Source organism: Homo sapiens, chromosome 10 (assembly GCF_000001405.40).
Source record: "Homo sapiens chromosome 10, GRCh38.p14 Primary Assembly".
Lineage (NCBI taxonomy): Eukaryota > Metazoa > Chordata > Mammalia > Primates > Hominidae > Homo > Homo sapiens.
In genome coordinates, this window is record NC_000010.11 from 45459272 (window position 1) to 45483030 (window position 23759).

At 44.2% G+C, this 23759-nt stretch overlaps 1 protein-coding gene and 1 long non-coding RNA gene across 17 annotated transcripts in view, besides 4 other annotated features; one reads left to right on the forward strand and one right to left on the reverse strand.

Annotated features, from left to right (window-relative positions):
- MARCHF8 (membrane associated ring-CH-type finger 8) overlaps positions 1 to 23759 on the reverse strand; it is a 140323-nt gene that overhangs the window by 4687 nt on the left and 111877 nt on the right. For 8 of the 15 annotated variants that reach the window (NM_001401646.1, NM_001401645.1, XM_011539492.4 and 5 more), the window contains 3 exons: positions 4968 to 5056; positions 3880 to 4725; positions 1960 to 2140 (listed from right to left, as the gene is read on the reverse strand). In NM_001401646.1, the coding sequence (NP_001388575.1) occupies positions 1960 to 2140; positions 3880 to 4725; positions 4968 to 5056 (1116 nt within the window). Of the gene's footprint in view, positions 1 to 468; positions 607 to 1959; positions 2141 to 3879; positions 4726 to 4967; positions 5057 to 23759 lie in introns of all 15 variants that reach the window. The other 7 variants (NM_145021.6, XM_047424768.1, XM_047424769.1 and 4 more) reach the window with 2 other exon arrangements.
- Positions 4015 to 5214: an enhancer, noted in NCBI's record as "CDK7 strongly-dependent group 2 enhancer chr10:45958734-45959933 (GRCh37/hg19 assembly coordinates)". NCBI's record gives its function as "activates an origin of replication core promoter dependent on BRD2, BRD4, P300/CBP, MED14 and CDK7 cofactors, with strong dependence on CDK7, by STARR-seq in HCT116 cells {active_cell/tissue: HCT116}" and the evidence as "EXISTENCE:reporter gene assay evidence [ECO:0000049][PMID:35650434]".
- The window catches only part of LOC105378286 (uncharacterized), a 47291-nt gene continuing 28535 nt past the window's right edge, over positions 5004 to 23759 (forward strand). For both annotated transcript variants that reach the window (XR_945919.1, XR_945920.1), the window contains exon 1: positions 5004 to 5087. This is a non-coding gene — a long non-coding RNA (uncharacterized LOC105378286). The remainder of the gene's footprint in view (positions 5088 to 23759) is intronic.
- Positions 10961 to 11070: an enhancer, noted in NCBI's record as "active region_3321". NCBI's record gives its function as "activates an Ori minimal core promoter by ATAC-STARR-seq in GM12878 lymphoblastoid cells {active_cell/tissue: GM12878}" and the evidence as "EXISTENCE:reporter gene assay evidence [ECO:0000049][PMID:35858748]".
- Positions 15578 to 16079: an enhancer, noted in NCBI's record as "H3K4me1 hESC enhancer chr10:45970297-45970798 (GRCh37/hg19 assembly coordinates)". NCBI's record gives its function as "activates a minimal SCP1, AML or CMV promoter by ChIP-STARR-seq in primed H9 embryonic stem cells {active_cell/tissue: H9 hESC(primed)}" and the evidence as "EXISTENCE:reporter gene assay evidence [ECO:0000049][PMID:30033119]".
- Positions 16080 to 16579: an enhancer, noted in NCBI's record as "H3K4me1 hESC enhancer chr10:45970799-45971298 (GRCh37/hg19 assembly coordinates)". NCBI's record gives its function as "activates a minimal SCP1, AML or CMV promoter by ChIP-STARR-seq in primed H9 embryonic stem cells {active_cell/tissue: H9 hESC(primed)}" and the evidence as "EXISTENCE:reporter gene assay evidence [ECO:0000049][PMID:30033119]".

Genomic DNA, 23759 nt, shown 5'->3' on the forward strand with positions numbered 1-23759 from the left:
AAAGACAACACAGAGTGTGAGGCTCAGGCTTCTGGGGAAGGGCTCCGGTGGGGTGAGAGCATTGTAGGTAGGTAAGATTGGCTTTCCACCCCACTTCTCCCTTCCCAAACTAGATGCATTCCCCCAAGTATTGTTCTCCTAAAACCACTTGGCTTCAACCAGGTACCAGGTGCAGCCAACTTTCTATGCAATGAAAAGAAGCCAGGATCAAGATGAATGCAGAACTACCATCAAAAATCCCCTTGTCTGCTTATTCTTGCAAGCAGACATAAGATGGCCTGATAAAGAATTCTATGATTTCAGTCCTAATGAAAACAGTATGTTGGCCCAGGACCCAGGTACTACGTTTTAAGTCTCCCTGATGTGCTGACTGGCATGGACGAGCGGAAGAAGAGGGTTGATGATGCCACAACACACTAGCAGATGGGTCACACTACATTGTGAAGGTGAATGGCAGAAGACGCTCACTCTTTGGTCCTTGCTACTTTGGCAGCAACAGCTCGAAATCGACGCTAAGAGTTCCTGGTACAAGCAGACTCTGCTAGTCCCATCTCCTCTAGGAGCTCATTAATTTACTCCAAATAGCCAGACTTTCTTTTTCATTTACTGGTTTCCGAATCAGGAGAAAACACATAAAGGTAGAGAGAAAGAACAATGTGTAAACACTCTGCACATATCCTTTGCCAACCCTAGTCACAGCCTCTTTCCAGATGAGTCTATGCAGGGTAGTTGAAAATAGAGCCTCAAGGACTTCCCATGTTGAGAGATTAGCATAGAGTAGGCACCCAATAAATTACAAGGTTTCTACTGGGCAAAACATTTTTTTAAGCAGTTTGCACAAGCCTTCTCTAAATCTGGTTGTTTTCTGCTGGGATTTTATACACTAGCAAGTTCCCTGGTCTTCCTACCTATAATACAGAGTCAGTGCCTCAGTGCCCCATGCTCCCTGCTACTTCCTACAACGCACGTAGCTTGACACCCTGTCAATGTTCACCTTCACCTTTCTAGGGTATGCTTTACTCCACAGACAGCCTGACCTCTCTAAACTCCTTGCACTCTGCCTCCAAATCCTAGTGATCCTTCAAGAACTGCTCTAAAACCCAAACACCCTATGAGGCTACCATCGCTCCACTTCCCCAGCACTCTAGCTCATAATGAGCATTTCCTTTTCTGAATGACTGTTATGCTCTACCAGCACACCATTTAGCATTTAATTGGCTAGTATTTGATTATGTGACTTATCTTGCAATTTATATATTAATGTTCTGAGATAGGAACAGTTTTTTATTCTTCCAGACAAAACCTTTTGTGCTGGGCATCTAGAGAGATATATGAAACAGTCAAAATTTAAACAGGAAGCCAGTGTGGCGGACAAAGCTCCTCTCAGAGGGAGCAGTGACATGGGCCTCCAGACAGCTGCGTGTCATGCAATGCCTGTGGGTCCTTTCTGAAGACAGTTGCACATCACGCAACGTTTGTGCTTCCTTTCTTTTCCCTATCCACCTACTCACACTCCCATCCAGCAAATAGTTATCATGGGTGTATACAAATAAATTTACTGTATGCTACACTGTGCTGGGTGCTGGGGAGATACTAATCTCCAACAGACAGTCCTAATCAGAGAAGCAGGACGTCAACAGTTAATATGTATAAAATTAGGTGCTAAGATATGTCACAAACAGTCTGTAGTCAAAGGCCAGAGGACTGACACCGACAAGCAAGCAGTCTTACTTTGAAGGGAAAAGAAGGATTATGAATGGTCAGAAAGAGCTTCTTCCTGAGAAGAGGGACTTGAAAATCAGCACCAGAAACAACAATCTCTACAATGCAAATGTAAGCACCAGCCCCAGCTTTTTAAGGAAATGAACGCAGGCAAGCCATGACCTCATGATCTGAGACACCAGCTTTCTGGGGGTCACTGGTTTCAGGAAGGGTGAAGCATCCCTTCCTCCCACGTACTTTTCTCAGTGGCTTCAGCTTGGTCTCCATGATGAACTCATACTTGCAGAGCTCGCAGCAGCGCGTGTCGGAGCTCTTGATCCACTGCTGCAGGCAGGCCTGGTGCACGAAGTGGAGGCTTCCTGTGCAGTGGCAGGGGGTGATCAGGGGGCTCTCATCATCTCCTTCACAGTGGCAGATCCTATGGTGGAAGGAAAACCTGTCATTCCAAGGACAGTCCCATGACAGGGAAGCTGACACTTCAGTGGCAGGTTAATCCCCCCAAAGGAAACTCAGAAACGAACATTACAGAAGTGACTATGGGCACAAAAACATACAAACACAAACGAAAACAATCACTACAAACTAAAAATGTCTAGCTTACCGCACCAACATGGAAAGTCTGGAGGGCATTTGGCAACAGAAAGGAAAAAACGATGTAAGAAATGACAAAGCTGTCATTTTTTGGTAAGAAATAAGAACTTCACTGAAAGATGAATTTAAAGCAACATGGAATCATTTTCCAGAACATAAGATGGTAAAATAATTAGAGGGAAAATTTCTATGTAAAACAAAACCTGCATTCCAACATCCAAAAATACCAGTGACCTTAAATGACGTTTGCTTTTTAGCTATAATCACTGACTTTACCTTCATACCCCACAACTACACATTTCTGTCGTCTCTCAGCAAGTAAACAAAGATGACAGTACCTCTCTCCTAGACCTAAAAAACTCACCATTACAAGATGCTGCAATTTCATCTCTTTTTCTTGGGACCACTAATAGCAATAAGTGAGAAATTAATTTGAAAGCACTCTCTATTTCCAAGGAAGTATGCAACAAGGTGTAGCTACTAGCCTGAAGGAACTTAACAGGCTTTTAAGAAACAGAGGGGTCTTTTCCAGCAGCTAGAGAACAGGTTGGGGCACTCGTCCTGGAAGGAGCCAGGCTCTCAGGCTGTTTTAGTGAGGGGATCTCTGATCCAAATGTTAGAAATGATGACAGCTGGCACTAAGGAGCGGAGACTGGAGAAAGGTCAGAATGAGGAGGGCACAAGAGTCATGACAAAAAGTGAATTATGGAGGCCAGACAAGGATGCTGCACAAGGGAAGATAAAGGGGGGAAACAGAGTTAGGATGGGACATAGGTGGCTACACCTCAGTTAAAAAGAAGGAAGGAAGGAGCTACTGGAGAACAGCCAGTCCCCACACACCTTTTGGGGGTAGGTAGGGAGCAAGGGTTAAAAAAGAGGCTGGGAGATGCAACAATGCTTAAAATCTGGACCATCAGGCTGGAAAACTGAAGATACTAGTTTCTTTCTTCCAGTTTCTTTATGCAAAGTCTACTTATTTTTAGTTTAGAAGAGTCAGCTTGGCCTTTAATATGTGTAGCTTCTTCCTCTTTTTTTTTTTGTTTTGTTTTGTTTTTTTTTAGACAGAGTTTCACTCTTGTTGCCCAGGCTGGAGTGCAATGGCGCAATCTTGGCTCACTGCAACCTCCGCCTCCCGGGTTCAAGCAATTCTCCTGCCTCAGCCTCCTGAGTAGCTGGGATTACAGGCGCCCGCCACCACGCCCGGCTAATTTTTGTATTTTTAGTAGAGACGGGGTTTCGCCACGTTGGCCAAGCTGGTCTCAAACTCCTGACCTCAGGTGATCCACCCGCCTCAGCCTCCCAAAGTGCTGGGATTACAGGCGTGAGCCACTGCGCCCAGCCAGCTTCTTCCTCTTTTATCATTTGTAAAACTATCTTGGGACTCACATCATAAAAATTAAGTTTTTCAAACGATATTGATACTCCATTCTTCTGGAGAAAACCATCAACCCACAACTGGTTACAACTTCCTATTACTTCATTTTCCTGAAACTTCACATACTAAAGCAAGAGGAGGTTCCTGATGCGAGCAGAGATGGCTAGAATGGCACTTCCTGGCAAACCAACCTGCAGACATCCCCTGACGTGGACACGGGAGATATGGGGGGTAATTTTTCAGAGAAGGGAGAAGGACAATCCAGGTCGCTGTCCTTTTCCGTGGAGCAGAGGGGCGCCCGCAGAACCCTACTCTTCAGTTTTGCAGATGTGCTGTCCTCAAAGACATCGTCGTCTCCCATCTCGTCAGAGCAGAAGCCCATACTCCCTGCCAGCCCGCTGGAGGACTTGGCAGTGTGCAGGCGAGCAGCGCAGCTCTCCAGCTCATGGAACCTGTGCAGGCTGCTGGCGCTCAAGCCGTGCGAGAGTGAGAACAGGTACTGGAGCAGTTGCCGGCTTCGGGACGTGGCCTCACCATCCGCCTTCTCTTCCAGCAGCAGGCCGGGCCTGCCCCCCTTGCCAGCTTCCACCTCTGAGGCAGTTGAGCGACCGGCAGAAAGGCATGAAACACAAGAATGTTTGGAATTGCCAAGAGGTTTGTGGTTCAGGGTTCTTTTTTCTTTATGATGAAACCTGTTAGTTCTGAGACACGTATCTTGAGGGAGTATTAATTTCCCTTCAGAACAAGTTCTTTCCACATAGGCAAAACTTTCTGAAGTATCCTGCGCCTTCTCACCCACATCATTGAGGGACCTTGAGAACTTTAGTGTTCTTCTGGCTTTGGTATTCTTAGCAGGCTTCAAGGCCTGGGCCCATTCTGAACCAAAGGAATTTCTCTTTGACGCCTGTAATGTGTCCTTACAGATAACTGTCACAGTGAGCCCTTGTGTCAGAGAACTCTGGCAGTGAGGAGCTTTCGAGACAACAGCAGACTGCACGGAACTGTGGTGACAACACTCAGAAAACACTGCACTGGAACTGCATGCAGAACAGTGGGATAAAAGCACAGAAAGTAAAAACAATTTTAAAAGAGAATAGACATCATAGTGAAGAAATGAGACTAGCATGGGTAACTTGGTGAGCAAACCACACATAAAACTCGCCAACTGTTTAGACCAAAGGCAGATTGATTAAGCAAATGGAAATTCAAGAACCTACAGACACTAATGCTTATTTCTGGCTGCACACTGATCATGGCAGCATCTGAAGCAGAGTGTTACCTGCAGATGTCCTGGCTGGATGGCGTGATAGAAGTGCGAGAGAAGGAGGACACCGGAGCCGGAGCTGATGCTGACGGAGGACTCCCAGCCTGCAATGACAGACCTGTGGTCAGTGTTCAGGTAAGAGCCAAGGGGATTGTGTGCACTGTCTCCTGAATGGTGACAGGGAGAAACCCTAGAAATGTCTGCTGCTTCCCGCTGCTCAACGAGTAACACATATTAGATCCTTCTAAGCCTTGGCAAAACAAATCAAATATCACTATTTTTTTCTTATCTGTGGATAAAAGTGTAAGAAATGTCTAAGGCTATGGAACACCACTACTAATCTCTTGCAGGTCCAGTGGCCGTTTATTTTCTAAGCATCTAAATTGAGTTAGTTCATATATAAGTCAAAAAACGAAGTACTAGAAGGTATCATACAAATGCCAAAGAAATATGAGGCTCCAGGCCTGCTGGCACTGGCTTCCCTAGCACTCTCTCCTAGTTCCCAAGATCAACAAGGCTGGTAGATTTAAGAGCTCTCTCCCACCTCACAACCTCATACATAGTGCCAGATGCTCCCTGAGTTCCACAAAACCTCACTGCCCTGCCACAGCTCTTCACACAAAAGGGAGTCCAGACCACGTCACCATGGGGGACACCAATCCATAGCTCAACCAGGGGCTGAGGTAGAGCACAGAATGCTCCCAACAGATCTAATCTTGAAACTGTAAATTAAGAAAAATAATCAAGAAAATTTAGATTTGAAAGAAAGTACAGCAAGAGGTCATGGGATAGAACAGAGTCTCTGGGGTGGTGAATAGTCAAACTTAGAGAAAAAAATCTAGGAAGGAGAGGAAGCACTGCAGTGAGGAGAGAAATGGACAGAGAGAAATAGGGACAGTGAGTGGCACTGAGCTGAGGATGCACCACCACCGCTAGAGGGCCCCAGACTCCCACGCCAGCCTCGGATTCCCCAGGCTCCACAGCCCCACAGACCTATGCGTATTCATAAAAAAGCATTCTTCCCTCCTTAAGACAGTAAGCCTGAGTAAGAATCTGCTCCATGCAACCCCAACAGCCCCAGGAAAACAGTGCCACGAGTCTGTTATCACCAGAAAGGCCATATCACCACCCACCTTCTGCAGGCCCACCTGCATGGCCCTTGGCCCTAACTCCTTGATACAAAGGAGCTCCACCCTGGCCCACCATTCCCTGGCTGAGGCCTAGTCCCCACTCTTTCTAAGTACCATCCCCAAGGGTGCACTCTCATCCTGGAACTCCACCTTTGGGACCCCCGACCCTTGGTCAACCACCAGAACAGATAAGGCCATTGCCTGGAAACTCCTCCTCCCCCTACCCCTCACAGCAAATGAAGCAGCCTGGAGAGAGCCAGGATGGCACTCGGATTAAGGCACCCATCGCATGGCTGCTCCCACTCCCAGTGCAGAGATTCAACAGCACTTTAATGCAAGTCCACCTGAAGAAACAAGATCCAAGAAGCTCTCATCAGCATGCTTCATGTGTACACTGAGATCACGCTGTGCCACTCCATGAGCACATCTTCGAATTCACCAAAGAATCTACATTTATTTTCTAACTGAATGTGCATATGGGCATGAGGTACACGGTCTTTAAAAGCATTAGAGGTCAAAGTTCTTAGGAATCTTAAGTTTACTTGGACACATGAAAATAGCATCCTTGAAATAACCCTCCCATCACTACCTTTGTCAATATTCTTCCTGAAACAAAATGAAAGACATCTAGGGATGCCTGTGGACACTATGCTGTGACATCCCTTGCATCTTCTAGGCCTGACTGCATAAGCCATTGTCCTTTTTCTCCAACTGCCTTAGACACTGTCCCCTCTCCAGCATCCTCCTCTCGGGGCACCCATCACTGGCTCCACCTGCCCCAGAGACAAGCACTCAAGGCCTTTTAGTACAATGGGCTTTACTGTTTATACCACAGGGGAGCAGATTGAGAGGGTATCCATGCTAAGGTCCCCAAACTCCTACAGTCCCCCTGTTCTCTGACATTTAGTCCTAACACTATTCTGGGACTGAAAGCCTTCCTGTACTTATTGCTCTCTTCTTTTATTTCTGAGGATGACCAGCTCTGTTCAACACACATAGGCAAGGCTAAAATGTGTCATGAAGACCAAAGCCTGATCACGGTGTATTGCAGAGAAGTAAGCGTCTTCATCACCTGTCCCCAGGTAGACTTTGAGGAAGAAATACCCAGCAATATCCACATGCTTGCCCCTCATTGCTATGAGGTCACTTCTTCCTCTGTGTTGCTGGGTCAAGCATACTCCCTGGAACTGATGAGGCATTGAAGGAAGCCCCCTTCCTTCAAGGGATGGCAGCAGAGGAAAGTACCTAGTCACCCTCCTCCCTTTTATCTTAGTAAGAGCATGGTCCTCTTGGAACCACGTGTACTTTCCTGTATTCTGAAGGGAAGGCAAACCCTGTTGGGAGGAGGTAAGGTCTTATCTGGAAAATCGTGCCCAATCAAGGTCAGTGTCCTGGGTCCGGGAGGCAGGTTTCTGATGGGAAATTAAAGTTCTGAACTCCAGTACTAAACTACAAGTAATCCAAGTCAAAAAGTGTACTCTGGGGTAACGATTCCATCCTTGCATGCCCATGATGAGGAGCAAGGCCTGAAGGTAGGAGGGCAGAGCCTCGTAACAAAACAAAGCCTGGATCAAGGAAGCAGCCACACCAGGCACACACACACGTCAGGACATGTGTTCACTTCCCTGTGTGGTTCCCCATGTGTGTGCACTTGTAGCAGATGTCAAGGCCAGCATGACAGTGACAGCGGACCCAAGGAGGAAGGGAGTTCTGGCAGGGCTGGGGAGATTCTGCCCTGCTCAGTTTTACTTAGGAAATAGGAAACAGCGTTGGCATCCTCTGCCTACATTTCTGCTCTCATTTCACCATTTCCAATCTTATGAAAACATTACAGGATACTCTCAGCAGGTATGTCCGATCCTCATCAAGCCTCCCAATGACAGAGAAAGAGTCTCTCTTCTTATTAGATCACAGAATTTAAAGAAAAATTTTAAAATCTACTTATTGTTATTTTACATAAATATAAACTTCAACAAATGCTAACTCTTCCAATAAAAGCAAGAAAACCAGTGAGATCTGTGGGGTCTTCACAGCTCCCAGAAGAGGCTCCTTCTGTCACGATCTAAAGGACAGCAAACATTTCAAAGGTCAGAACCAATCCATAGGCAGAATGGTCAAGAAAATAATTTTAAAGAGCTTTATTTGTTGCTGCTATAGACCTGAGAGAAATCTATCAACCAACAAAGACCTAAAAGACTGGCCTGATCAACAACAAAATGAAGCTGACAGCTTCAAATAATGGTTCCATGGTCAGATTCTGGAAGCCAGTGTAATCAAAGGCCAGCAATCCCCTCTTAGGAGCTCTGCAGGACAGAACCTTACTAGATGGGACAGGACCTCACTAGATGGGACAGGACCAGCCGTCCTGCTCTTTCTGAAAGCAGCAGGCAGTGTGGCACGTGTGAGCCGGGGGCAGTACTAGCTCCAGAGAACACCTACACTCTCCTCTCCATAGGATCAGACCACACACGACTCGACAATTACTAATAAAAGTGCAAATGTTCATCATGCAAAAATCCAAATGTGTCAAGAAAACTTAGGCCCTCTGTTCCTGAAGTTCTTTGCGGGTTGCCAAATGACAGACTCTCCAGTCATGAAAAGGAATATAAAGCAATCTCACTACAAAAAAAAAAATTCTTGTAAAAATCCTCCCTTCTTCAGATGTTGTAATTAATTATGCCAAAACAAACCTCTGGATTTCTATCCAAGCCTAAATCCCAGTTTATTTTATTTCTTAGAAATGATAAATACTTTTTGACAATTTGTTTTGCTACATCCAAGTCTTTTAGTGGCTGGCTTTGTTATCAAATTCACCATTTTAAATGATTTTAACAAGGTTGCCAAAGAACATACGGGGAAAAAAAACTTTTCCATATATCCTTGGCAGAAACTGGCATTCCCCTTTTCTCAGTTCCCTTCTGAGAGTGCCTGCTGTCGCTGGAGCAGCTATAGCAGTGTGTTTACCCAGTTGATAGTGCACACATCCTTCTCACTGCAGGACACCAGCGCACCTTCCTTGGCCTCTGGCGCCTTCTGCCAGGTTACTGCCCAGCCTCCTCTATTACCCACGCCCCTCATTTTCTGTGCAACCCCCAACTGGGCCTCCTTTTCACTCATCAGCTAAGCTACTTTTAAACATTTGGGTCTCAGGCCCCTAACAAAAGCAAATTTGCCCATCTGATTTATTTCAAAAGGGAGAGGGCCACAGGAATGATCTGTTTGAGTGAGCTTGTTTTTAGGCAAGGAGGAACGTGAAGACAGGCTGGATAAGGATGGTTAAGAGGCCAGAAGAGCTCATGTTTACAACTCATCACAAATTACAGTACTGCAAATCAATGACTTAACAGAAACAATGGGAAAAGATGCACAGATGGCTCTCAAAACATGAAAAGATGCTTCATTTCTCTCACAATGAGAAATACAAATTAAAACTACAATGAGATACCATTATCAGCCAAGAAAATTAATCAAATAATATGTGTTGGCGGAAGTGTTGGGAAGCAGGTATGCTTATACATTGCTGGTGGGAGAGCAAATGGTAAACCTCCACAGGATGACAACTGCCCTCAGGATGACAAAGGCACATATACTTTGTCTCAGCAATTCTTTTAGGAATTCATCCTCACACACCTGCGGGAAGAGGTTTGTACACTGCACTAGTTTGTGACAGCAAACGGCTGGAATCACCCTAAATGCCCATCACCTTGGAGCTGAGGCAACACTGTTCCATCTACAGAAAGAAATATCAGCAATCATTAAAAAAATGGGAAAAGTTCTCATTATGTCCAGTAATGAACACACAAAGTGAAACAAGCAGAGAGAGGCACCACTGCCATCTGTGCTGGTGCTGCACAGACTACTCAGGAGGGAGACCAGGGAACCTGGATGGAGGGACATGGACTTGTCACAGAGACCCACAAAACCATAATGCCACTTTACACTGAGCAACATTTCCCAAACAGAAATTCATTCTTAAAATAACAGGTGATTGATGATTTTAAAAAGTAAAACAAAACTGCAGAAGCACAACCAACTGCAACAACTTTCCGACTTTGGGATGACAGGTAAAGAAATCAATGTAGTGGGTGATGACCTATGTTTTTAAAAGTACAATAAAATAGAATATGTCAGAATGTATCTGACATAAAAAGGATAAAGTCTTTTGAGGTAATTTTGTCTCTCAGATGTGTATGCAAAAGTGAACTGGGTTTCAATATAAAAGCTACTTCTGGCCAGGCGCGGTGGCTCACGCCTGTAATCCCAGCACTTTGGGGGGCCGAGGCGGGCGGATCACGAGGTCAGGAGATCGAGACCATCCTGGCTAACACGGTGAAACCCCGTCTCTACTAAAAATACAAAAAATTAGCCAGGCGTGGTGGCGGGCGCCTGTAGTCCCAGCTACTCGGGAGGCTGAGGCAGGTGAATGGCGTGAACCCGGGAGGCGGAGCTTGCAGTGAGCCGAGATCGCGCCACTGCACTCCAGCCTGGGCGACAGAGTGAGACTCCGTCTCAAAAAAAAAAAAAAAAAAAAAAAAAAAAAGCTACTTCTTACTTTGGATCATGGTCAAAGTCACTTGAAAGTCACTGCCTGACTGTATTTCTACAAAGAAAATAAAAATTATCAAAAAAAAATAAAAGAAGAAGATGGCTAAATCAAGAGTTCATGTTGGCTGTTGGCCCAGAGGCTCTAGAAGCAAATGGCTCTTACAGATCTCTAGAAAGAAGGTTTTCCTCTACATGGAAAGCATTTGCCACCCATATAAGAGGTGTGTTGCTATGTAAACAAAACTTAGTGGCTTAAAACTACACAAATGTATCACTTCACAGTTCCCACAGACTAGGAGTCTACATGCGCATGCTGAGACTCTCTGCTCTGGTCAGTCTCCCTCCTTCCTGGAGGCCTGGGGAGGACTGCGTTTACACATTCTCTCAGGTTGTTGGCAGAACACAGCTCCCTAAAGCTTGAGGACTGAGGGCCCGTCTGCTGGCTGACTCCACCTGGGGCAGGCCACATGCATCTGCAGTCACATGACCCCTTCCCATCTTCAAAGCCCACTTGCGGTATCAATCTCTCTGACTTCCCTTTCTGCCACCAGTCAGAGAACGTTCTCTGCTTTTTAAGCACTTGTGGGATTCCATTGGGCCTGTATTTATAACCCCAAATAATCTCCCTTATTTTAAGGTCAACTGTGCCACACAACACAACATGATCATAGGAGTAATAATAGCAATGCATTCCCAGGTTCCAGGCAATTGTGGGGACATTTTTGGGGGCCGTTTTAGAAATCTTGCTCACCAGATCACTTTTTTATTTGTGCTTCCTGCTCATGAGATTGCTAGCGGTTACTGCCCTCCCACTTCCAAACTAAGAGATAGGGATCTGCTCCTAACGGTCAACTCGGCAGGCCTGACTTCATACCACAGAGCCAGATAAACTCACTTGGTGTTTACATATTGCAATGTGCAGACTGAGATTACATCTTGACAAACTTTCTGCTTAGCACAGAAGTTACTCTGTCAAACCAATGCTTCATTATGAGTAACTCTGCTTTCGATAAATACCCAGTTGTATTCAACTTCAAAAATGAGCCACAATTAAAAGAAAAGAGGCCATTCTGTGGCTTTTCTGTGGCTTGCTCTGATAAATACATGTTGACTCTTATGAAGGGCTGTGCCAAGAACAAGCTTTCACAAAGGCAATTAATTAAAACTGACCATTAAAAAAGTAAGTATATACAATATACTTACAGAGAAGCATGTACAATTAAAAACTACTGAATGCTAAAATGATATCCATTATAAATGACTCTCATTAGCATTGCTTACGCCAAGTAGCACTAACATGGAATTCTTTTCTACAGTGGCCTTTTAAAGGGAGTCGGAATTACTTGAGTAGCAATAAATCCCCAGAACAATGAGGGGAATATATTACAGCACTGGTGGAGGGGACAGAAGGCCACAGCTGAAGGGACTTTTTCAGGACTGTCTTCCTCCATGCTGCAGCTGAGGATCTTGCAAATATAATTTGTTTTCAATAAATTACATTGAAGACAATGATTTCTGAGCAAAGGTGGCTTCACAGTCCCAGAAACTAAAGATGTAACCATATAAAAATCCAAAATCACCAGAAATAACACGGTGAAAGGGGCTGTGTTTGTGAGTTACTTATCACTCACAAGGACCCTTTAATACTGTTGATTTCCTTTAAATATTGAACTTTTCAAATATAGTCGAAATACATTTTCATTGCCAAGAGGCAATAAAATATTTCCTCTGAGAGAATTCTGGGGCAGTGGCCAAAGCACTGGCTTTTGACCCCAAAGTCTTCCCTCTGTGTTCTGGGGCCAGTCCACTGAGCACACTACCGAGCAGGAGTTTAATCATTTAAAAAATGAGGTCAACAATCTACAGGGCTGCTACTAGGATCAAATAAAGTCAAGGGAGATGCAGAAATGCAGCACACACCACTCCAGGCACACCTCCAGTGTGGAACAAGACTTCCGTGTGACTACCACTCTTGATTCTTGATGACCTAGAGAGTAAACCTGCAGGTCTCATATCTGCTACAAAATGCCTCATTCCAACCAAGGTAACCACCGTCCACCCACCTGGGAAGAAAACAGCTTCTGCTCAGGCTACTCATCTGGCCAGCCCTGGCCCAAGATGCACAGAACTCTAAGAGCGAACCCTGAGCCGCGGAGTATACTACTGACAGAAACATGGCAGGCAGGAAAAATGACCCTCACTTCCTCTAGGCCTAGGCCCTCCTTTCCCGGCAACTGGTGGCCTTTCCCACCCCTCCTCCTCCTCCCAGGAACACTCCCACATTCCAACCCAGCATGATGGCCCCTCCTCCTTTCTGAGGAGAAAGGGCTTTTCATCCCTGTTATCATATCCTTGTACCCTATTCATTTCTTTCACTGCACCTATCAAGGTTTATAAGAAGATGTTACTGGGATATGTTAACTTAGAAGCTGTTGCTGATTGGTCTGGTACACACTAGGTGTTTAGGGAACATTTGCTCAATGAACTAAACAGCTACCCTCTGGGGAGACTGTGCCTCTACAACAGAGATTCTCAAACTTGTTGGCCACAGGACCTCCTTAAACTCTTAAAAATTACTGAGGCCCTCACAAAAAGCTTTTGTTTACACGGGTTCCATCTCTCCATCTTTGCTATATTAGAACATCTTAAAACACAGGAACATATTCCACCAGCTAAGGAAGATGCTATCCTGCATGTTGCTTAGCTTCTGGAACTCCGCTGTATACTTGTGGAAGAATGAGAGTGAAAAATGGAAATAATCTTGGTATTATTGGGAAATTGTTTTAAACCTGCCCCCCTTCCACCTTCAGGAGACTGAACCAAACTTCAGCCAAAAACTAAACTGTAACAGTCAGATGAAAAAATACTGCAAAGACAGTCGGTTAAACTTTGCAAAAGGGGAGCTGAACGGAAACACTGCCTCAGTGCTGTCAGGATTCGAGTGAGGCTCAGTGGTGCTGAGGCCACCTGATGCCATGAAACTCCTCCAATTCATCCTTTGTTTTTGTCACTTAGGAATAAATATCCTGTTTTGGGACAGCTGTTTTCTTCAGAATAAATTAAGAAAGCACATTTTGCCTTATTTGTAACCCATAAGTTTTGAGTAACCTGAGCGTGTCACTGGTCAACTCTGCATTCAGAAACAGAAAGAAGCAAACCCTGGTCTTGACAATCACATCCAGGTCTGCCCTCGCGTAATAAAAGTGGGTCAGCAAGAATTCCTTGTAAGGAATGTCCCTCTGATACGTGACATTCTGCTGTATCTCATCCCTGTCTAATGGCAACAATAACCGGAAAATATTCAGGAGGCCTAGGAGGGTTAGTGCTCAAATTCATTGAGATGTGCTTGCCAAGCAATAGAGCAATCATTGTAATTGCTCATTAAACATGTCCAGTCTGATTCTACCCAGGAATATTTGATTAACAAGAGGTACATATCACAGTCTGCAAGGCCCCAGCCTTGGGCAACTGCCAGAGCCTACAGAGCCAGGCTGGCTAGGGGGCTGGCAGAGAGATACTCGTGCTACGGGCTTCCACTGCCTTCTCCCTGGGGTAAGTGCTGCCAATCATGAACTTGCTCAAGAAATTGTGTCACCTGGACCAAGTTTGATTCCCAGGGTTGAATGAGAAGGCTTCCCTGGGGATAAAATAACATTGTGTCTATGTACTGCCCTTTTTGCACCACAATCTTCCTCTGAGAGGCATCAAGAGAGGCTCCAAAAAGTCCAGCCCCTATGATTAGCCTAGCCTAGGCCAATTCCTGGTATTAAAGAAATTCCAGCTGAATAGAGTGGGTTTAAGCCTCCTCTGCGAATTTCAATCAGCCTCTATAGGATTTTAGGCCAAAGTACTCACATGAACAGCCACAGTCAACACAATCTTGTGGTTACAGCCACCTGCAATAGGGTGCCATGAGAGCCATCACCCCCAGCCACTGAAGATGCCTTTCATTGTCCATCTAAAGTACTGGACTTTCCAAGCAGGTGACAAATGATCTTTCTACTACAGTTTAACCTCATCCTGGTTGGCTCCTTTCCACCTCTCACATCTGCTTTACATGTCTCTCCTGAGCCACATCTTCTCTGAGCAGTCCTTCAACTTGGGTTCCCTGTAATTCTCTACCTAAGCTCCTTACTGTTCCCTTTGTAGGAATTCTCTCCATCCGTGGTATCGTATAGAGGTCTGCGTACTTCCCTCTGCTGTTTGGTTCAGCATTCAAAGCACAATTTCTGGCACACAGTTAGGTGCTGGACAAAATCTCAATGTGTGCAATCCTCGTAAACTCTGCATGGCCTCCTTGTCTCCATGTTAGAGATGAGACATATTGTCAAATGGTAAGACAGCCTGCAGGTGGGGGCAGTGGTGGCACAGGACACAACGTCCTGAACAGGCAGTCACCTCACGTCACCTGAGTCCACCCTGAGGCCATGCCCAGTACACTGTGCATCGCCCCTGCCAGCCATACTCTATGGCTTCCTGGTACCCCGAGACAATGGCCCCTTGACAGGCAGAGGCTCACAGCAGAGATGGAAAGTTGGCTTGCCCCATCCCCACCCCTCCCTTCTCTCTACCACACAGCCTCCTGAATACCCATCTGTCAGAGCTCTATCTCACAAAGGGCCATCACAATGAGTTTAGGTGATATAATGAAGAACATGCTTTTTAATAGTTATATTTTCACATTAAAAAGTTAACCAATCAAAATCTAGAGGAGGGGCTTCAAGATGGCTGACTAGAGGCATCTGGTACTTACCTCCTCTACAAAGAAGAACCAAAATAGCGAGGAAGAATCAGACTTTGAATAGATCATCTAACAGAGAACACGAATTCAACAGAGAAGTGACAGAAAACACCTAGAGCAGGCAAGGAGAGGGCAGTCAGGCAAGGCAGCCAAGAGGTTCCCCAGTGTGGGGAAAGGGGAAGCGAGCGATCCCCAGCGGTCCACATTCCTACCATGCACTTCTGCAATTCCAGCCATGACAGAGCCCTAGACCCTCACAGGCCTTGAGGCTAACAGAGGGAGCTGCCTGGAGATGGCGAGAAGGCATTGCTCCAGGGAGGGAGCTCGTGATGGGTCCCACACACCCCTGGAGTCCAAGGCAGCTACAAGAAGACACCATACTGAGAGCCCAGTCCTCAGGAGACTGCATCCTGCTGGGGGCCCAACAGTCCCTGCTTCTTCACATCCCTGGAACCCCACTGATATTCCTCACCACAGCCATTGCAGCAGCTAGCTGCTGCTGCCAGGGATGAAGTGCAAACCATTTGGCAAAGACCCTGCTGCTTCCAGCAGTGAAGCCACTGCACGTTTTCACAAGCGCCAAGGACAAAGTGAGCAAAGTGTGCACTCCCTAGCCGCTGGCATACCTATTGCCACTGAAAGCAACCCCACTCTCCCCAGTAGTAGGGCTGCAGTATAGCCACTGCTGCCTCCACCAGAGCATTCTGCCAGGGCCTTGGAATCACCCAGCCCCTACCTAAGACTGTTAGAGCCTGAATGCATCCCCGGGGGGGGCTGAAGTATGTCCTACCCAGTTCCTGAGTAAACCATCCTGAGGCCTGGGGACTGCGCAGCCCATTCCACCACTATTGGAACCTGAGCATACTGCCTGGGCATCTGAGGTCAGGCCCACCCAACCTGCCATTACCGCCACATCTAGCACTCAATTGCGTACACATTTGGGCCTGAAGACTGGTTCAACCAGCCCATCACAGCCGCAAACTGCTTGGGAGCCAGAGGGTTGTCCTGCCACTGCTGCTGCCATCACCCATATCATGCCTGCTGCCCAGGAGCCCAAGAATTCACCCACCCACCCAGTTCGCCACTGCCACTACCAGCGTTTGAGCAAGCTACAAGGAGGTCCCCCAAAAATAACCCACCTGACCTGCTAACACTGGTGCCAGCATATACTGCACTGAGGCCCAAGGGCAGGCATACTCACCCCACTACTGCCACCACTGGGACCAAGGACAGGCCAACCTGGTATCCCTGTCCCCAGCAAAACCTCACTACAGCCTCCACCATACCCTAAGATACTGAGGAAATCACAGACACCACAAACATGACTTATAGCCAAAGAAATCATACAGAGACTATACTACTGCACACAATGAGAATCAAAGCTAAAGTGCCCTGCACAACCAACACCATAGACACACCCTCAGGAAAAACTCCTCTCCTACAACAGCAAATTAAGAAAACTAGAAGAGACTGTTACACCAGACGTGCAGAGATTAACATAAGGACACAAGAAATGAAAAATCAAGGAAATATGACACCCACAAAGGAACCCAATAATTCTCCAGCAATAAATTCCAATCAAAAAGAAATTTATGAAATCCCAAAAAAAGAATTCAAAATAATGATATTAAAACTCAGTGAACACTGGGCATGGTGACTCTCACCTGTAATCCCAGTACTTTGGGAGCCCCAGGCATGAGGATTGCTTGAGGCTAGGAGTTCGAGACCAGTCTGAGCAACATAGTGAGACCTCGTCTCTATAAAAAATACAAATAAAAATTAGCTGGGCATGGTGATGTGTGCCTGTAGGCCCAGCTACTCAGGAGGCTGAGGTGGGAGAATTGCTTGAGCACAGGAGTTGGAAGCTGCAGTTAGCTATGATCGCACCACTGTACTCCTGCCTGGGCAACAGACCAAGATCCGGAAGCTCAGTGAGATACACAGGAATACAGACAAACAATACAAAGAAATGAGAAATGCAATTCAGGATATGAATGAAACATTTTCCAAAAATACATTATAAAAAAAAAAACAAACAGAAATTCTGGAACTGAAAAATTCATTACATGAAATACAAAATACACTTGAAATATTCAACAAATAGATCAAGTAGAAGAAATAATTTCAGAACTTGAAGACAGGTCTTTTGAAATAATCCAGTAAGACAAAAAAATTTAAAAAAGGAATAGAAAAGAAAGAACAAAGCATACATGACATATGGGACACCATGAAATGACCAAATATTCAAATTTTCAGTGTCTCAGAAGACAAACAGAAAACAAAAAAGATGGAATATCTAACAAAATAATAGCTGCAAACTTCCCAAGTCTTGCAAAAGATTTAGACATCTAGATATAAGAAGCTCAGAGATATCCAAATATAATTCAAGGTCTCCTCCACAGCACATTATATAGTCAAACAGTCAAAAGTTGAAGCCTAAAAATAGCAAGAAAAAAGCATCTAGTCATTTATAAGTGGACCCCCATCGAACCAACAGCAGACTTGTCAGCAGAAGCCTTATAGACCAGGAGAGAATGGGATGATATATTCAAAGTGCTAAAAGAAAAAAAAAAGGCCAGCCAAAGATACTATATCCATCCAAGTTATCACTCATAAATGAGAAGAAATAAAGTCCTTCCCAGACAAGCAAAAGCTGAGGGAATTCACCACCAGATTGGTCCTATAAGAAATGCTTAAGGGAATCCTACACATGGAAGCACAAGGACAGTATTTGCCATCATGAAAACATACCAAAGTATAAAACCTACTGGTAGAGCAAGCACACAAATAAGCAAAAAAAAGGACTCAAACGTTACCACTACAGAAACCCACCAAACCACAATTATAAACAATAAGAAAGAAGGAAACAAAGGATATACAAAACCAGAAATTATTTAATAAAGTGACAGGAATAAGCCCTCACATATCAATAGCAACCCTGAATGTAAATGAATTAAACTTTCCACTGGAAAGACAGAGACTGGCTGAATGGATTTAAAAAAACATTACTCAACTATATGCTGTGTACAAGAAGCTCATCGCACCTGTACAGACACATATAGACTTAAAGTACAGGGATGAAAAAAGATATTCCATGCAAATAAAAACCAAAAGCAAGCAGGACTAGCTATACCTATATCAGATAAAACAGACTTTAAGTCAAAAACAGTAAAAGACAAAGAGAGTCATTATATAATAACAAAGGGATTAATTCATCAAGAGGCTATAACACTTCTACATACATCTGCACCCTACACCAGAGCACTCAGATGTATAAAGCAAATATTATTAAATCTAAAGGGAGAGACAGACTTCAGTATAATAATAGCTGAGGACTTCAACACCCCACTCCCATCGTTAGACAGATCATCTAGGCAGAAAATGAACAAACATTACATTTAAACTGCACGTTAGGACAATGGACTAAACAGACAGTTACAGAACGTTTCATCCAACAACTACAGAATACACATTTCTCAGCACACAGACCATTCTTCAGGATAGGCCACAGGTTAGGACACAAAACAAGTCTCAACAAAGTTTTTAAAAATTGAAATCATGTCAAGTATCTTTCTCAGACCACAATGTTTAAAACTAGAAATCAACTAGAAACTGTACAATTACATGGAAATTAAACAACATGCTCCTCAATGACCACTGGGTGAAGGAAGAAATTAAGGAGAAAACATAAAAATGCCTTAAATAAAAATCGAAATACAACATACCAAAACCTGTGGGATAGAGCAAAAGTAGTGCTAACAGGGAAGTCCAGAGCAATAAACACCTACATCAAAAGAGTAGAAAGATTTCAAACAAACAATCGAAGGATGCACCTCAAGGATCTAGAAATCCAAGTAAAAACCAAATCCAAAATTAGTAAAAGAAAAGAAATAATAAACATTAGAGGAGAACTAAACTAAATAGGAGCTAAAAAAAAAAAAGATCAATGAAACAAAAAATTAATTTTTTGAAAAACTAAAATTGATAGACTAGCTAGACTAACCAAGAAAAAAAGATAGAAGACCTAAATAAAATCTGAAATGAAAAAGGAGACATTACAAATAACACAGAAATACAAAAGATCATCAGAGACTATTACGAACTACATGCTATCAAACTGGAAAACCTAGAGGAAATGGATAGACACATAACCTACCATGATTGATCAGAAAGAGACAGAAAACTTGGACAGATCAATAAGAAGTAATGAGATTTAAAGAGTAATAAAAAGTCTCCTAACAACGAAAGGTCCAGGATTGGATGACTTCACTGCCAAATTCTACCAAACTTTCAAAGAAGAACAATTCTTCTCTATTCCAAAAAACTGAAGAAGAGAGAATTCTCCTTAACTCATTCTACTAGACCAGCATTATGCTGACACCAAAACCAGACAAGGACACAACAAAAAATAAAACTACAGGCCAATATCCCTGATAGGCATAGATGCAAAAAATCCTTAACAAAATACGAATAAAGCAAATCCAATTGCACATCAAAAAGACAGTACACGATTAAGGGAATTTATCCCTAGGATGCAAGGGTCTTTCATCACATGCAAATCAATAAATGTGACACATCATGTAAACAGAATGAAGGATAAAACCATATGATCATCTCAATAGAAGCAGAAAAGGCATTTGGTAAAATTCAACATTCCTTCATGATAAAAATTCTCAACAAACTAGGCAAAGAAAGAAATACTGCAATATTAATAAAGGCTATATATGACAAACCCACAGCTAACATAAATCTGAATGGGGGAAAAGTGAAAGAAAGCCTTCCCTCTAAGAACTGGAACAAGATAAGAATGCCCGCTGATATGATTTGGCTGTGTCCCCACCCAAATCTCATCTTCAATTGTGGCTCCCATAATTCCCACAGGTTGTGGGAGGGACTCAGTGGGAGATAACTGAATCATAGGTGCAGTTTCCCCCATACTGTTCTTGTGGTAGTGAATAAGTCTCATGAAATCTCATTTTGTAAGGGAAGCCCCTTTCACTTGGTTCTCATTTCTCCCTTGTCTGCCGCCATGTAAGTAAGATATGCCTTTCATCTTCCCCCATGATTGTGAGGCCTCCCCAGCCATGTGGAACTGTGAGTCCATTAAACCTCTTTTACTTTAAAAATTATCCAGTCTTGGGTATGTCTTTATCAGCAGTGTGAAAACAGACCAATACAGTAAATTGGTACCAGTAAGTGGGGTGCTGCTATAAAGATACCTGAAAATGTGGAAGTGACTTTGGATCTGGGTAACAGGCAGAGGCTGGAATGGTCTGGAGGGCTCAGAAGAAGACAGGAAAATGTGGGCAAGTTTGGAACTTCCTAGACATTTGTTGAATGGCTTTGACCAAAATACTGATCATGATATGGACAATGAAATCCAGGCTGAGGTGGTCTCAGATGGAGATGAGAAACTTGTTGCAAACTGGAGTAAAGGTGACTCTTGCTATGTTTTAGCAAAGAGACTGGCAGCATTTTGCCCCTGATGTGTGGAACTTTGAACTTGAGGGAGATGATTTATGGTATCTGGAGGAAAAAATTTCTAAGCACCAAAGCATTCAGGAAGTGACTTGGATGCTGTTAAAAACATTCAGTTTTAAAAAGTTTTAAAAGCATTCTCAGAGAAACAGAAAATAAAAGCAGAAAATTTGTGGCCTCCTGATGCCATTGAAAAGAAAAACCCATTTTCTGAGGAGAAATTCAAGCTGGGTGTGGAAATTTGCCTAAGTAACGAAGAGCCAAATGTTAATCACCAACTCAATGGGGGAAAATGTCTCAAGGGCATGTCAGAGATCTTTGCTGGCAGCCCCTCCCATCACAGGCCCAGAGGACTAGGAGGAAAAAAAAATGGTTTCAAGGGCTGGTGCCCAGGGCCCCCTTGCTGTGTGCAGCCTAGAGACTCCATGCCCTGCATCCCAGCCACTCTAACCAAAGGATACAAGCAGCCAGGGTATAGTTCAGGTCATGGCTTCAGAGGGTGCAAGCCCCAAGCCTTGGCAGCTTCCATGTGGTGTTGAGCCTGCGGGTACACAAATGTCAAGAATTGAGATTTGGGAACCTCTGCCTAGATTTCAGAGAATGTATAGAAATGCCTGGATGTTCAGGCACTGGTATGCTGCAAGGATGGAGCCCTCATGGAGAACCTCTGCTAGGGCAGTGTGAAAGGGAAATGTGGGTTGCAAGCCCCCACACAGAGTCCCCACTGGGGCACTGCCTAGTGGAGCTGTGAGAAGAGGGCCACCATCCTCCCAACTCCAGAATGGTGTATCTACTAACAGCTTGCACCATGCACCTGGAAAAGCTACAGACACTCAATGACAGCTCGTGAAAGCAGCCAGGAGGTGGGCTATACCCTGCAAAGCTACAGGGGCAGAGCTGCCAAAGGCCGTGGGAGCCCACCTCTTGCATTAGCATGACCTGGATGTGAGACATGGAGTCAAAGGAGATCACTTTGGAGCTTTAAGAATGGACTGACCCATTGGATTGTGGACTTACATGGGGCCTTTAGCCCCTTCATTTTGGCCAGTTTCTCCCATTTGGAATGAGTGTATTTATCCAGTGCCTGTGCCCCCATTGTATCTAGAAACTAACTAACTTGATTTTGATTTTACAGGCTCACAGGTGGAAGGGAGTTGCCTTGTCTGAGATGAGACTTTGGACTGTGGACTTTTGAGTTAATGCTGAAATGCGTTAAGACTTTGGGGGACTGTTGGGAAGGCATGGGTGGTTTTGAAATGTGAGGACATGAGATTTGGGAGGGGCCGAGGGCGGAATGATATGGTTTGGCTGTGTCCCCACCAAATCTCATTTTGAATTGTAGCTCCCATAATTCCCATGTGTCGTGGGAGGGACCCAGTGGGGGATAACTGAATCATAGGGGTGGTTTCCCCCATACTGTTCTTGTGGTAGTGAATAAGTCTCATGAGATCTGATGGTTTTATAAGGGGAAACCTCTTTCGCTTGGTTCTCATTTCTCCCTTGTCTGCTGCCATGTAAGACATGCCTTTCGCCTTCTGCCATCATTGTGAGGCCTCCCCAGCCACATGGAACTGTGAGTTCATTAAACCTCTTTTTCTTTAAAAATTACCCAGTCTCAGGTATGTGTTTATCAGCAGCATGAAAACAGACTAATACACCCACTTTCACCACTCCTGTTCAACACAGTACTGGAAGTCCTAGTTAGAGCAATCAGGCAAGAGAAAGAAATAAAAGGCATTCAAATTGGAAAAAGTAAGTTAATTTGTCCCTTTTTGCAGATGATATGATTTTATACCTAGAAAAACCTAAAGGCTCCATTAGAAAACTTAGATCTGATAAATTTGGAAAAGTTATAGGATACAAAAATAAACATACAAAAGTTGATAGTGTTTCTATACACCAATAATGAACTAGCGGAGAAAGAAATCAAAAAGGCAATCCCATTTACAATAGCTATACAAAATAAAATACCTAGAAATAAATTTAATCAAAGAGGTGAAAGGCGTTGCAAGGAAAACTACAAAACACTGATAAAAGAAGCTGAAGAGGACACGAACAAATTGAAAGATATCCCACGTCCACGGATCAAAAGAATTAGTGTCATTAAAATGACCATACTACCCAAAGCAATCTACAGATTCAATGCAATTGCTATCAAAATGTCAATGTCATTTTACACAGAAACAGAAAAAACAATCCTAAAACCATATGGAACCAAAAAAGAGCACAAATAGCCAAAACAATCCTAAGAAAAACAAACAAAGCTGCAGGGATCACACTGCCTGACTTCAAAGGATATTACACAAGGCTACAGAAACCAAAATAAGCATGGTGTTGTTATAAAAACAGATACAGGCCAGGAGTGGTGGCTCACACCTGTAATCCCAGCACTTTGGGAGGCCAAGGCAGGTGGATCATCTGACATCAGGAGTTCAAGACCAGCCTGGCCAACTTGGTGAAACCCCATCACTACTAAAAATACAAAAATTAGCCAGGTTTGGTGGTATGCACCTGTAATCTCAGCTAATCAGGGGGCTGAGGCAGGGAGAATTGCTTGAACCCAGGAGGCAGAGGTTGCAGTGAGCCTAGATAGTGCCACTGCACTCCAGCCTGGGCGACAGAGCAAGACTCTATCTCAAAAAACAAACAAACAACAACAACAAAACAAACCCAGATACACAGAACAATAGAACAAAATCAACAACACAGAAATAAATCCACGTACTTACTGCGAACTGATTTTCAACAAAGGTACCAAAAACATGCGTTAGGGAAAGGATACCCTCTCAATAAATGGTGCTGGGAAAATGAGAGATCCATACGCAGATGAATGAAACTGAAGCCCTCTCTCTCATCGCATACAAAAATCAACTCAAGATGGACTAAACACTCAAACATAAGACCTGAAACTAT